The sequence below is a fragment of the Homo sapiens genome, chromosome 17 (assembly GCF_000001405.40).
Source record: "Homo sapiens chromosome 17, GRCh38.p14 Primary Assembly".
NCBI lineage: Eukaryota > Metazoa > Chordata > Mammalia > Primates > Hominidae > Homo > Homo sapiens.
The window spans coordinates 15,999,713-16,012,977 of NC_000017.11; the positions used below are offsets into that span (position 1 = coordinate 15,999,713).

The window sequence follows — 13,265 nt, forward strand, 5'->3', positions numbered from 1 at the left end:
GGCGCGTCATCGCGCGTGCGGACGCAGGGATGTCCTGCTCAGTCGTCAGGGCCCGGCCAATCCGGAGGGCGCTCGGCGCGTGGTCGGGGGCCAGGAGCGCGTCTGGCCTGCAGTGCGCAGAGGACGCGGCGGGAGCATGTTCCGGCTCCTGAGCTGGAGCCTGGGCCGAGGCTTCCTGCGGGCCGCGGGGCGGCGGTGCCGGGGCTGCTCCGCGCGCCTGCTCCCGGGGCTGGCAGGAGGTCCGGGGCCCGAGGTGCAGGTGCCGCCATCCCGAGTCGCGCCGCACGGCCGGGGCCCAGGCCTGCTGCCGCTGCTGGCAGGTGAGGGGCGCGGGCCGGGCGGGGCCGGCCGGGCGGGGACAGGGGCGCGGGCCGGGCCCGATGACCTCAGAGCCCCTTCCCGCAGCGCTCGCCTGGTTCTCGAGGCCCGCTGCGGCAGAGGAGGAGGAGCAGCAGGGAGCCGACGGGGCCGCTGCCGAGGACGGGGCGGACGAGGCCGAGGCAGAGATCATCCAGCTGCTGAAGCGAGCCAAGGTGAGGCGGCTCCGGGCCCTGCGCCCGGCCGAGCGCGGTAGCCTTTGTGAGCGGGGTCTTGGCGTTGCTGCGCATTACTCTCTCCGCCTCGCCGAAGAGTGGATGGAGGCTCCGCGGGTAAAATTGCCGAGAATGAGGTGGGTCATCCGAGAGGGGATTGGAATCCATCCAGGCTTTTCCGACTCTAAGGCCTGCAGTAAAACCTCTGCAGTGTCAAGTGCAAATGGAGATGGCGCCCTAGGCATCACGCTTTATGCAAACGAAATATCGGGAACGTTTTGTAGTGGTTTTATCAATTAACCAGCCTATCTGAAATGACATAATTTCGCACGTATATAGCGGCCTGAAAATGGCAACTTAGTGTTGGTTATGCGGTTCGGTTCTCCTCCTGAATTCTTCCTTTTCTCCACATCCTTTTCTATTTTTTTTTCCTCCTCTTTTCCCAAGTTATCTCATCTCTTCCATTGAGCTAAATACCTACTCGATGCCAACAACGTCCAAATTTGTATTTCCATTCTGTAGTGTGCTACTGACATGCCATTTGCACTTTAGGACCATACCTACCTCTCAGATTTAACATGCCCAAAACTAAACGATCTTTAATGCCTCCTCAACATACGCTTTCGCCATCTCTTTACTACCATCAGTTTTTCAGCCTAAAAACCTCATAGTCATTCTTAAAACTTGTGGTACCTTACCATTGCCTTCCAATACACTTACAGTCCAGCAACAAGTCCTGTTGCCAACAAATGCAAAATATTTCTCAAATCTTTCCCCTTTTGTCTATCTCCCTTGCTGTCACCCTAGTGCAAACCATCATTGCCACCAACTATGCTCCAGTAGTCTTTCCTGGCCTCCTGGCCTCTTGCAATCTATTCTCCATGCAGAAACCAAAGCGACCAAAAAAAAAAAGAGTAAATTGGATTATGTCATCTCCTTGTCAGAAAGCTCTGAATGGCTACCCACTGCATTTATGATAAAATACAAACTCCTTGCCTTGGCTTGCAACACCCCACATGATCTAAACCAGCATATACCTTGCCCACCCATTTGGCAGTAATCCTCTGGCTCACCATCCTCCCTTCACATCTATTTCTTTGCATTTCTTCCTCAAAACCATTCTCTTCAGCTTGTAGGGACTTCACTCATTCTCTACCCTCTGTTTGAGTCATTGTTCTCCCCAGGTCCTTATTTGGTTGACTCATTCTCATCCTTACTACCTCAGTTTAGCTGTCACTTCCTTGGAAGGCTTCCCTAAGTCCTATTTAGAGGAGACCCCTTATCATTCCTTTCTGTCATCTTTATAGCTCTTATCATTAGTTGTAATTAAGCTTACTTGTCCTATATGGTCACCTCCAGCCTGCAAGAAATTAGAAAGAGGATGGAGGACAAGCAGCTTCCTTATAAAATATGTTGTAAGATCACATTCCTTCTGCCTGTGTCTCTTGGCCAAAACTTCATCAGATGGCCACACCTAGCTGCAAGGGAGGCTGACCTCCCTGTCATCTCTGTAGACAATGCTTTGTACATAGTAGGAATTCAGTAAATGTCTGATGAATGAGTTAGCTTCCTTCTATCAGTTGGGATGTACAGTTGCATACACTTCTGTCTCTTAGCATATGCATCTACTATATGTTTCATTTTCTATTATTTTGTCTTCCCTTTTCAGTTGAGCATTATGAAAGATGAGCCAGAAGAGGCTGAGTTAATTTTGCATGACGCTCTTCGTCTCGCCTATCAGACTGATAACAAGAAGGCCATCACTTACACTTATGATTTGGTAACTCTTATAACCAGTCTGAACCACTGATGAGGAAGGTTGGATGGGAGGGAAGGGTAGTTAGTTCTTCTGATTTATATTCCTGACTTTCACGATGTTCTAAAACTCCTTTTCTTTTTACTGAGTTTTCTTTTGGCTTCAGTTTCATTTTTTGTTTTGTTTTGTTTTTTTGAGATGGAGCCTCACTCTGTTGCCCAGGCTGCAGTGCAGTGGCACAATCTTGGCTCACTGCAGCCTCCGCCTCATGAGTTCAGACGATTCTTTTGCCTCACCCTCCCGAGTAGCTGGATTACAGGCATGCATCACTATGCCTGGCTAAATTTTGTATTGTAGTAGAGACGAGGTTTCACCATATTGGCCAGGCTGGTCTCGAACTCCTGATCTCAGGTGATCCACCTGCCTTGGCCTCCCAAAGTGCTGAGATTTCAGGCATGAGCCACCACGCCCGGCCACAGCTTCAGTTTTTTTACCCTTGGGGTGACATAAGACCTCTCAATTCCAGACCAAAAAAAACCAGTATCATTAGCATGTTTTTTTAATGATGAGTGGACCTAGATTTGGTTTGTTAACAACAAAGTATGTGCAAGTATTTAATTCTCACATGATTGCTGTCCTGTGCTTCTTCTTGCAGATTAATTGGTGATGTGCTTTTCATTTTCAACTATTTTTTAAATTTTGAGGGTGAAAGCAAAAGGGAATTTTAAAGTTTTGAAATAAGTAGGAACACAGTATTCTAAACTGAAAAACAATTTGTAATTTGCTTTCAGATGGCCAACTTAGCATTTATACGGGGTCAGCTTGAAAATGTAAGTAAATTGCTTTGTAATATCTTGAATTTATGAAGGAGTAGCTTCAAGGGAACTGTAATAGTAAGAGTACAGGCTAAGCTGCTATAACAAAGAGACCCTAGAATATAGTGACTCAAACAAGATAAAAGTGTATTTCTCTTTATTGTGTTAGTCCAGAGATAGGCTAAAGACTGAAGGCAGACAGACATAGGCACCTTTGCTCTCTGATCCAGAAGTCCAGGTTTCTTCTAAGATAAGCCCTCCTCTGCCTAGGTGAGCTGACTCACCTCCAGTCTGCAGGAAGGGGGAGAAGATGGACTGTGAGCAGCTTCCTTATAAAACATGATTAGAAGTTCACGTTCTTTCTGCCTGCATCCCTTGGCCTAAATTTTATCATATGACCATATCTAACTTAAGGGTGTCCAATCTGCTAAAATTGACTGAATTTTTTTTTTAAGATAAGGTCTTGCTCTGTTGCCCAGGTTGGAGTGCGGTGGCTTAATCATGGCTGACTGCAACCTCGACCTGCCAGGCTCAGTTGATCCTCTCACCTCAGCCTCCTGAGTAGCTGGGATTCCAGGCGTGTGCCACAACACTTGGCTAATTTTCTTATTTATTTATTTATTTATTTATTTATTTATTGTAGAGACGGGATTTCACCATATTTCCCAGGCTAAATCGAGGGGACTCTGTAATCAAAAAGATGGAGAAGAGAATGACTATTAGGAGACAGTTTGTAGTCTCTGCCACAGTGGGTTTGGATAAGAACTTAATCTCTGAGGTTGTTTTCTACTCATCAGAGAGTAGTTTAAGGTACACAGAGGATGTTGAGGGTCCTGATATTTTGATCTGTTTTCGCTTCAAAAGGGTACTTTTCTGTGTGTGAGTGTGCGTGTGTGTGGGTATATGGGTTTTACAAGGAATGTTGCATCAGACTGGCACTTAGAATCCAGGGTCATATATATATATATAAAATGGGGCCCAATTAAAAGAAAAATCTTTTCCTTATGCTTTTAGGCTGAACAACTTTTTAAAGCAACAATGAGTTACCTCCTTGGAGGGGGCATGAAGCAGGTAAGGACATTGCCTAGTATTGGCCCCTCACTGAAGCAGTTTTCAAAACAGTCTTGTCTCCTGAAAACTCCTCCTAGCCCCACCACATGCTTTGGTCAGGAAAGGTGGAGTTTCCCTTCTGAGATCTCTATACAAATTGCCATTCTTTCACTAAATGCAACAGCATGCTTGCCAAGGAATTCACAGTTGGCTCATCACTCTAAAAGAATAAAGACTGTGGCTTTGAGGCCACCGTCAGTCTGGAAGTTGATCTGAAATATGCCATGAAAAAATTTACTTGTTATGAGTTCCCTTCATTCTCTTTCTCTCACAGGAGGACAATGCAATAATTGAAATTTCCCTAAAGCTGGCCAGTATCTATGCTGCGCAGAACAGGTAAGTACAGCAGCCAGGGAGTAGGACTGTGGGCAGGAAACTTTGACTCTGGGATGTTACATAATATTCATTGTCTACTGGTCATCTGGGTCTCCCAGAAATTGGGTGTCACACTCAAAGTGTTCCATCCCTCATCTTTGAAATTGTCAGTCTTTTTCCAGTTTGCCCCTACTGTTTCCATCAGCCTGCCTAGTGGGGCACACAACATCTCTGGCTGCCCTGTGACAAAACTAACTAAGTTTTCTGTTGCTGCTTGAAGTGGGAAGGGAAGTTAGAGTTAGAACTTTAGTTTAACTTTTCCTAGAAGAGGAAAGAGCAGTGTGAAAGCTGCTGGGGATAATATATTAATACTCTGAAGAAGCCATTTTGCTGGTATAAATAGAGTTCAAAGATGAAGCATCTAGGTTGTAAGCAGAGAACTCCTCTAGAGAGTTGTATTTGGGATGAATTTAGGGAGAGACCTAAGACTAGCTTCCCTTCAGGTTTTAGTGGTGCAGAAGTTGGTGCGAGAGGTTTGGAGTGACATGGAGCCTGATGCTGTAGAAAGGGTGCTCACTGAGGCCAGGCCCTGGCACTGTTCCCTACTGTCCTACTCACCAGCTCCTTTGTTCTCATCAGGACCTGCATAGTCTCCTTGCATTTTGATTGGACACTAGATAGGCTAGAGCTTCCTGGAGCCTTTGACTTCAAGTCTTTTGAGGAGCTTTGAGCTTGGCCCATGCCAGGGAACACTGCAGCTTGGTCAATCTTTCTTGGAGTTGTAACAAACATGCCTAGTTCTTGATTGGGTATGAATCCCTAGGGTAAGAAGAAGCCCAGAGCCTAATAAACATTGTTGAGTAAGACAAATTCATAGTCTTCTAGAGGTGAAAGCTAGTAACAATTAGCCTCTGAGTTACATGGTACTCTGTACTTTTCATTTTGTTTTATTAAGAGAAGCATGAGACTAGAAAAGACATGGCCAGATCTGAGGCTTCGAAAGGCTGATATAGGTTATGAGGGGAATTGTTTGTAGACCTCTTGCTCCGACTGGGAGCGTCTTCTGGGCAGTGTCCACTTGCCCTGTGTTATGGCTAGAGAGGGCCCTCTTGCCAAGTTTTGAGCGTAGGGAAGGAAGGGGATGCTTCTGTTCTTCTGAGAACAGAGCAGAACAGTAGGGTCATAAGTTCTCCCCTGGCAAAGCACTAGAGAACAGGTGAGCTTTTTAGTGCCACTTCTGTAAGAAACTAGAGCCAAAACTGAAGAAAAGAACCAAAGCTGAGCTCCTAAATGGAGAAGGGATTTCTGTCACATTTCCTCTGCATCTCTGTAAAAAGCAGCAGTCAGTCGGCCTGCTTGGGTTGACTCAACCCTCTCCAGTTGATTGAGGGTCCAGGGCTACAGAGTTGGGTTAAATGACTTCTATTGCCATAGCTAGGAGTCCCATTTCTGCAAAAGAAACTTTTATCAGAGACTTATAGCTTGAAAGAAATATAAAATGACTAAAGCTCCTCAGAAGCTGTATGAGGTCAACAGTTGGAATCCTCACTGTAGGGCGGCCTGAACTGTTTAGGGTAGTATTACTTTGAACAGGGGTAAGGCTTTCACACATGGAGAAGTTGATTCACTGGAGGCCATCTGTTAGTGGGAGATGATGAATACTGCTGGCTATGTCAGTTATTAAAATTAGGGCAGCATTCCTAGCTTTTTGTGTCCTAAGTTATATTAAATGGATGACTTAAAAAAACTGCTTTGAGAAATGGCAGATTTGACACTACTTAGACTTTAAGCAAAGTTCCCTCTTCCCATTTTACACTTCCTTTACTGATAATGTTTAAACTGAGCTGGAAAAATGAAGATAAAAAGAATTTGTGAAAAGGTAAATGGGCCGGGCGCAGTGGCTCACGCCTGTAATCCCACCACTTTGGGAGGCCGAGGTGGGTGGATCACTTAAGGTCAGGAGTTCCAGACCAGCCTGGCCAACATGGTGAAACTCTGTCTTTACCAAAAATACAAAAATTAGCTGGGCATAGTGGCGGGCACCTGTAATCCCAGCTATTCGAGAGGCTAAGGCAGGAGAATCGCTTGAACCCCGGAGGTGGAGGTTGCTCTGAGCCGAGGTCACGCCATTGCACTCCAGCCTGGGCAACAAGAGCGAAACTCCATCTCAACAGAAGGAAGAAAAAAAAAAGAAGAAAAGGTAAATGGCTGATTATTGATTTTGCTTTACAGACAGGAATTTGCTGTTGCTGGCTATGAATTCTGCATTTCAACTCTAGAGGAAAAAATTGAAAGAGAAAAGGAATTAGCAGAAGACATTATGTCAGGTAGGAAACCCATTATCTGGGCATTGCCTTTTCTCCACAAAAGGCTTTACTTTACACTTTTGAGAAATGGAAAGAGATCTAAATTGGGAAGAGGGAAAGTTACCTATTTTGCAAAATAAGTGTCTGTCTTTAAGGTATCAGCAGAAGTTTTGGAATAAGATGTTTTATTTAAAATATTTGACTGCTGTTTTGGTGGTGGTTTTTTTTTTAACCCCCTTGGTAACATGGTCATAATTTATTTGTTAACTTTTAGTTACATATAACTTAAGGAAAATTGGGGAGCAGAAGGAGAAGGTGTTTCTCGTATCTCTTAGTTCAGCTACCAATCAAAATGCTTATTACGTTTTAGCCCTAGATATACAGCAAATTAAGAAAGAAGAGAAAAAAAGCTCATGTTTTTACAATCCATCCTCACTCATTCTGGAGGCTAGGAATAGAACTGGATGAGCAGGAAGCTCTCTAGCTCTCCACCATTTTGGGTTTCTTAATTTGGGTTGAAGTATTGAGAATTTTCAGATTTGACATTTATTCAATACCTACTCTATACCAAGAGCTACCGAGATGGTAGGGATACAGCAGTCAACTCTTCTGTACCTAGTGGTCTTCTAACTCTCTCTTGAACATAGAGTAGTCCCCCGTTATCCATGGGGAATATGTTCCAAGACCCCCAGCAGATGCCTGAAACGACTTCTAATACACTGTGTTTTTTTCTTATATATATGTACCTATGATAAAGTTTAATTTATAAGTTAGGCACAGTAAGAGATTAACAACAATAACTTTTAATAGAACAATTATAACTATATACTGTTAACAGTGTCACAGACAGGAGATTCATTCTTATTGTAGATCTTATCAACCTCAGCATACAGTTTTTTGTTTTTTGTTTTTTGTTTTCTTACTAAGTTGAGAACTTTCACCTTTTCATTAAAAGGAAGCACTTTATGACTTCTCTTTGTCATATTCAAATTGCCAGTATCACCACTCTCACACTTTGGGGCCATTATGTAAAATATGGATTGCTTGAGCACAAGTACTGCAACATTGTGGGTTGATCTGATAACTGAGACTGCTGCTAAGTGACTGAGGCCAGCTGCCGTATACAACTTGGGTACACTGGACAAAGATGATTCATGTCCTGGGCAGGATGGAGTGTGACAGTGTAAGATTTCTTCATGCCACCCAGAATGGCATGCAATTTAAAAACTTACGGATTATTTCTTGAATTTTTCATTTAATATTTTTCGGACTCTGGTTGACTGCAGATAACTGAAACCCCAGAAAATGAAACTGTGGAGTAGGAGGGATCACTGTACACCAATTTTTTTGTTTTCATCACTCCACTGAAGCTACCTTTATCAAAGTCACCAAATCCAATGGTTACTTCTCAATCCTTAACTTACTCATCAGCAGCTTTAACTTAGGGGATCACTGTCTCCTACTGAAAATACTTTCACTTGGCTTCTGGGATGCCTCACTGGTCTCTCTAGTGAGGTGAATAGACTTCCCTACCTCTTAATGTTGGCACGCCTTAGGGCTGTTTTCAGCCCTATTCTCTTTTCTCTCTGCCCCAACACCTAGGAGATATCTTTTAGTTCCATAGTTTTAAATATTAGATTTATACCTTCAGCCCCAACTTGCCCCCAAATGGCAGACTTATAATTATGATTGCCCACCCGACATCTTGACTTGAAGTCTAATGGTCATCTCATACTTAACATGTCCAAAATAGGTCTCAGTTTTGCCGCTCACAACTTGTTTCGTCACCAGTCAGCCCCAGATTTGTAAATGGCACACTACTCATTTAGTTGCTTTGGCCAAGAACCTAAGAATTGTCCATGATTTCTTCCTCATTCCTCATATCTAATCCATCAGCAAGTTATACTGGATCAGCCATCAAAATATATCCATACTGACCATGTCTCATCCCATTACCCTACTGCTTTGGTCCAGGCCATCACTGTTTCAAGACCTCAGTACCTTTGTATCACCTTTAGAATAAATTTAGAATCCCTGCATGGACCTGTAAGGCGCTTATGACCTGGGCCCACCCACCTCTTCCATGCCATCTGCTGCTCTCCCCTTGCTCGTTCCAGTCTCACCACACTGGTCTTATTCTGGCACATTCCAAGCTTAGTGCCACCTCAAGGCCTCTTTGCTTGATATTCCCCCTACCTAGACTGTTCTCTCTTACCTTTCTCTGGCCAACTCCCGTACTTCACTCAGGTCTCTGCTCAAATAGCACTTCCTCAGAGTGCTCCCTTCACTAAAACTATCATCTCTTCCCACCTTACTATTGCTCTACTCCTCTTTCCTTTACTTTTCTTCATCACACTTAAAAGTAGAGGTGTGTGTGTTGTGTGCTTGTGTTTCTCCACTAAAAGTATGTTTTTGTTTAAAAATTTTTAGTCTTTGTCTTCCATATCAAAGAAGGATAGAGACTTCATCCATTATACTCAGTGCTAAATCCTCGGTGCCTAGAACAGTGCCTGGCACATAATAGAGGCTCAATAATTACTGAATGAAAGAACAAAAGACCCAAGAAAGACCAGCAAATAAATCCAGTTTCAGTGCAGTGTGGAAGTGCTTTGAGGAAATCCACAAGAGGTGTAAAAACAAGTCTAGCTGTCAAGTAAGTCACTTCTGAACTATTTACACCTTTGCTGTCTTTCATTTATAGTGTTGACTATGGTTTCTTAGGAGTGTAAAGCTATATTTTCTGATTCAAAAAATAATACCAGTAAACACTGAAGAAAGTTTAGAAAAGCACTAAGTAAAAATCATCTGTAATCATACTATTAAGAAAGAGCTACTGTTTTATTTATTACTACGGCTTTTCGGGTTACATTTTAAGAAATAAATTTGGGATGATACTGTATATCCTACTTTGTAACCTGAGTTTTAACAATTTAGTAACATATTATGAAAACACTTTTTTTTTCCAGGCAAAGGAATTCTTGTTAGATAGAGCAAGCTAATTTCTATTATAAATATTATTTTTACATTTTACTAGTTGCACAGTATAGAAAATGTGTTACATGATTCTTCATCTTATTTTTTCTAGAAAAGGAATTCCTACCTATTCAGTTTTGCACAAAGCAAATCCATTATCAAATTTACGTGCTTTTTATTGACACAACTATCTCTATTCTAGGATAACATTACTTAATTACATAAAATTACATTACTTAATTACATAAAACCTTGCTCTAGGATAATTATTTTGTTACCTATGTTGTAGACATATATGTACTTACTGAGGAAATGCCCATAAAAAATTAAGTGAAAACTTTGGTTACAAAACAGTATAGTTAGTATGTAGACTAAAAATAGGAATGGAACAAAGGCTGAATGATAGATATCAAAATACAGGCAGTGATTCTCTTTGGTTGGTAGGTTTATAGGGAATTTATATTTTATTTGTGTTTCTCTGAGTATTCTATAATTTTGTACAAATTTATATTTTTCTTTTTAATTTCCAATGTTATCTGTTAGTATAAAAAGTCAAATAATATTAATAGTACAAAGCTTAATTTAAGAGAGCATTTTCTTGGCTATCTCACCCACCCCATCTATTTTTTTTATTTTTTAATTTTTAATTTTTTTTTTTTTTTTTTTTTTTTGAGACAGAGTCTCACTCTTGTCACCAGGCTGGAGTGCAGTGGTGCAATCTCGGCTCACTGCAACCTCCGCCTCCCGGGTTTAAGCGGTTCTCCTGCCTCAGCCTCCCGAGTAGCCGGGACTACAGGCACGTGCCACCATGCCCAGCTAATTTTTGTGTTTTTAGTAGAGACAGGGTTTCACCATGTTAGCCAGGATGGTCTCAATCTCTTGACCTCATAATCTGCCTGCCTCAGCCTCCCAAAGTGCTGGGATTACAGGTGTGAGCCACCGCACTTGGCCCTATTTTCAACTTTTGTTTTTGAGACAGAGTCCCGCTCTGTCGCCCAGGCTGGAGTGCAGTGGCGTGATCTCGGCTCACTGCAACCTCTGCCTCCCCGGTTCAAGCGATTCTCCTGCCTCAGCCTCCCGAGTAGCTGGGACTACAGGCACCCGCCACCACACCTGGCTATTTTTGTATTTTTAGTAGAGACTGGGTTTTACCATGTTAGCCAGGATGGTCTCGATCTCCTGACCTCATGATCCGCCTGCCTTTGCCTCCCAAAGTGCTGGGATTACAGGCATGAGCCACTGTGCCCGGCCCCTATTTTCAACTCTTAACCAGTTTCCTCTGGTATTTACCTTCACATTTCTCAATAATATAAAATTGCTATTTCCTAGTTCATTATTTTCAGAATATGTTGATTTATGGAAAAGTGAAGATTTAGTGCAGTTTCTGGTTGTGTCTACATTATGAGTGTATGAATAGTGTTAGCTGCTGAGCCAAGTAACATGATTACACAGTTACATTTCCTTTTGTGTACGTTTTGCTTCCTCTGAAGTTAACTAGGTTTTTTTGTGGCTCCGTTTGTTATGTATATGCCAGATTCTTCACTTTTACATATTACTTGCTTTCTTCAATTCATAAGCTTTCCCAGTATTCTAGAGTTCATGTTGGCTCACTTTTCATTGGCATGGCTGGCCATAGGCATTCAGTCTTCATCTTCTTTTTTTTGTTTTTGTTTTTGTTGAGACGGAGTCTCACTCTGTCACCCAGGCTGGAGTGCAGTGGCTCAATTTTGGCTCACAGCAAGCTCCACCTCCTGGGTTCAAGCAATTCTCATGCCTCTGCTTCCTGAGTAGCTGGGATTACAGGCGTGAGCTACCACACCCGGCTAATTTTGTATTTTTAGTAGAGACGGGATTTCACCATGTTGGCCGGCCTGGTCTCCTGACTTAGGTGATCCACCCGCCCCAGCCTCCCCAAGTGTTGGGATTACAGGCGTGAGCCACCGCGCCCGGCCGCGTTATATCTTTTTCATCCTGTAAGTTTCATTTTAGTGGTATTTGGGGAAGGAGTGGAGAGGAATGCCTGTGTTCAGTTCAGAATAGTAAATCTGTTATTGGGCATCAAGATAGTGTCCAAACCTGTTTTTTTAAAGTGGATTCTTAGCACTGAGATTTCCAAGTCAAGAGTAGCACATTTTAAGGTTGTTGATGACTATTGCCAAATTGCCATTGAAAGGACTGTGTTAATTTACATTTCCTGGTTTGGCTATTTATGTACTTTGTGACTTTGGCCAAATTACATAATCCCTGTGTGCTTTTTCTTCAGTGTGGGATTAAGAGTAACACTCATAGGACCTTTAGGAAGGTGGAATGAGTTAATACATAAAACGTACTTAGAATAATACATTGTAGCTGCTCAAAAAGGGTTTGTTAGTGGTTTTTATTATTGTGATAAGCCTATGTCCTCCTCCCCAAAACTCATTAACTTTTATAATCTTTGTTAGCTTGATGATATGGCCTTGATGCATTATCTAGCATTTCTTTGATAAACAGTGAGGTTTATCTTTTTTTTTTTCTCACCATGTCTTAGGGTGCTAAGAGGTTTATTTTTTATTGGAGCTTTATTGTAAAAATATTAATCCTTTGTCTCTTGGGTTTTCCTCCTGATTTGTGTTTATAGAGTGGGGTTTTTTTTTCTAATAAAAAGGGAATGTGAAATTAACATTTGTATAAAGAATTTATGAGAATTGGCGAGGGACAGTGGCTCACGCCTGTAATCCCAGCACTTTGGGAGGCCAAGGCGGGTGGATCACTTGAGGTCAGTCGTTAAAGACCAGCCCTGGAAACGTGGCAAAACCCCATGTTTACAAAAATTATCTGGGCATGGTGTTGCGCACTTGTAGTCCCAGCTACTCGGGAGGCTGAGGTGAGAATCTCTTGAGCCTGGGAGGTGGAGGTTGCAGTGAGCTGAGATCGCACCACCTGTGGTCCAGCCTGGGTGACAGAGCAAGACCCTGTCTTGGGGCTGGGGGGTGGAAGAGGATTGTGAGAATAGACAAGTGATCCAGCATTGCCAGTACCTTTGGAGCTCTTCCTACCTGGGATACTATTCTCCTTAATCTTGTCACTATCATTCAATGGCATGATCTCGGCTCACTGCAACCTCCGCCTCCTGGGTTCAAGTGATTCTCCTGTCTCAGCCTCCCGAGTAGCTGGGATTACAGGCATATGCCACCACGCCTGGCTAATTTTGTATTTTTAGTAGAGACGGGGTTTCTCCATGTTGGTCAGGCTGGTCTCGAACTGCCGACCTCAGGTGATCTGCCCGCCTCAACCTCCCAAAGTGCTGGGATTACAGGCATGAGCCACCACGCTAGGCCTATTTGCTTTTCTTTCATTTTACTCTGTGTCCCTTAAGAAGATGTCATTTAGTTTTTGCATATTGCTTTTAAAAATTTAAATAGGCTGGGTGGAGTGACTCAAGCCTGTAACCCCAACACTTTGGGAGGCCAAGGTGGGA

At 42.9% G+C, this 13,265-nt stretch overlaps 1 protein-coding gene across 5 annotated transcripts in view, besides 1 other annotated feature; it reads left to right on the forward strand.

Annotated features, from left to right (window-relative positions):
- Positions 76-465: a silencer, noted in NCBI's record as "silent region_8214". NCBI's record gives its function as "represses an Ori minimal core promoter by ATAC-STARR-seq in GM12878 lymphoblastoid cells {active_cell/tissue: GM12878}" and the evidence as "EXISTENCE:reporter gene assay evidence [ECO:0000049][PMID:35858748]".
- Positions 112-13,265, forward strand: part of TTC19 (tetratricopeptide repeat domain 19) — a 45,192-nt gene continuing 32,038 nt past the window's right edge. For 3 of the 5 annotated variants that reach the window (XM_017024802.3, XM_017024801.3, NM_017775.4), the window contains exons 1-7: positions 112-320; positions 406-533; positions 2,203-2,313; positions 3,081-3,119; positions 4,119-4,175; positions 4,489-4,550; positions 6,762-6,856. In XM_017024802.3, coding sequence (XP_016880291.2) covers positions 137-320; positions 406-533; positions 2,203-2,313; positions 3,081-3,119; positions 4,119-4,175; positions 4,489-4,550; positions 6,762-6,856 — 676 coding nt within the window. In that variant the 5' untranslated portion in view covers positions 112-136. Of the gene's footprint in view, positions 321-405; positions 671-2,202; positions 2,314-3,080; positions 3,120-4,118; positions 4,176-4,488; positions 4,551-6,761; positions 6,857-9,265; positions 9,353-13,265 lie in introns of those variants that run through there. The other 2 variants (XM_024450814.2, NM_001271420.2) reach the window with 2 other exon arrangements.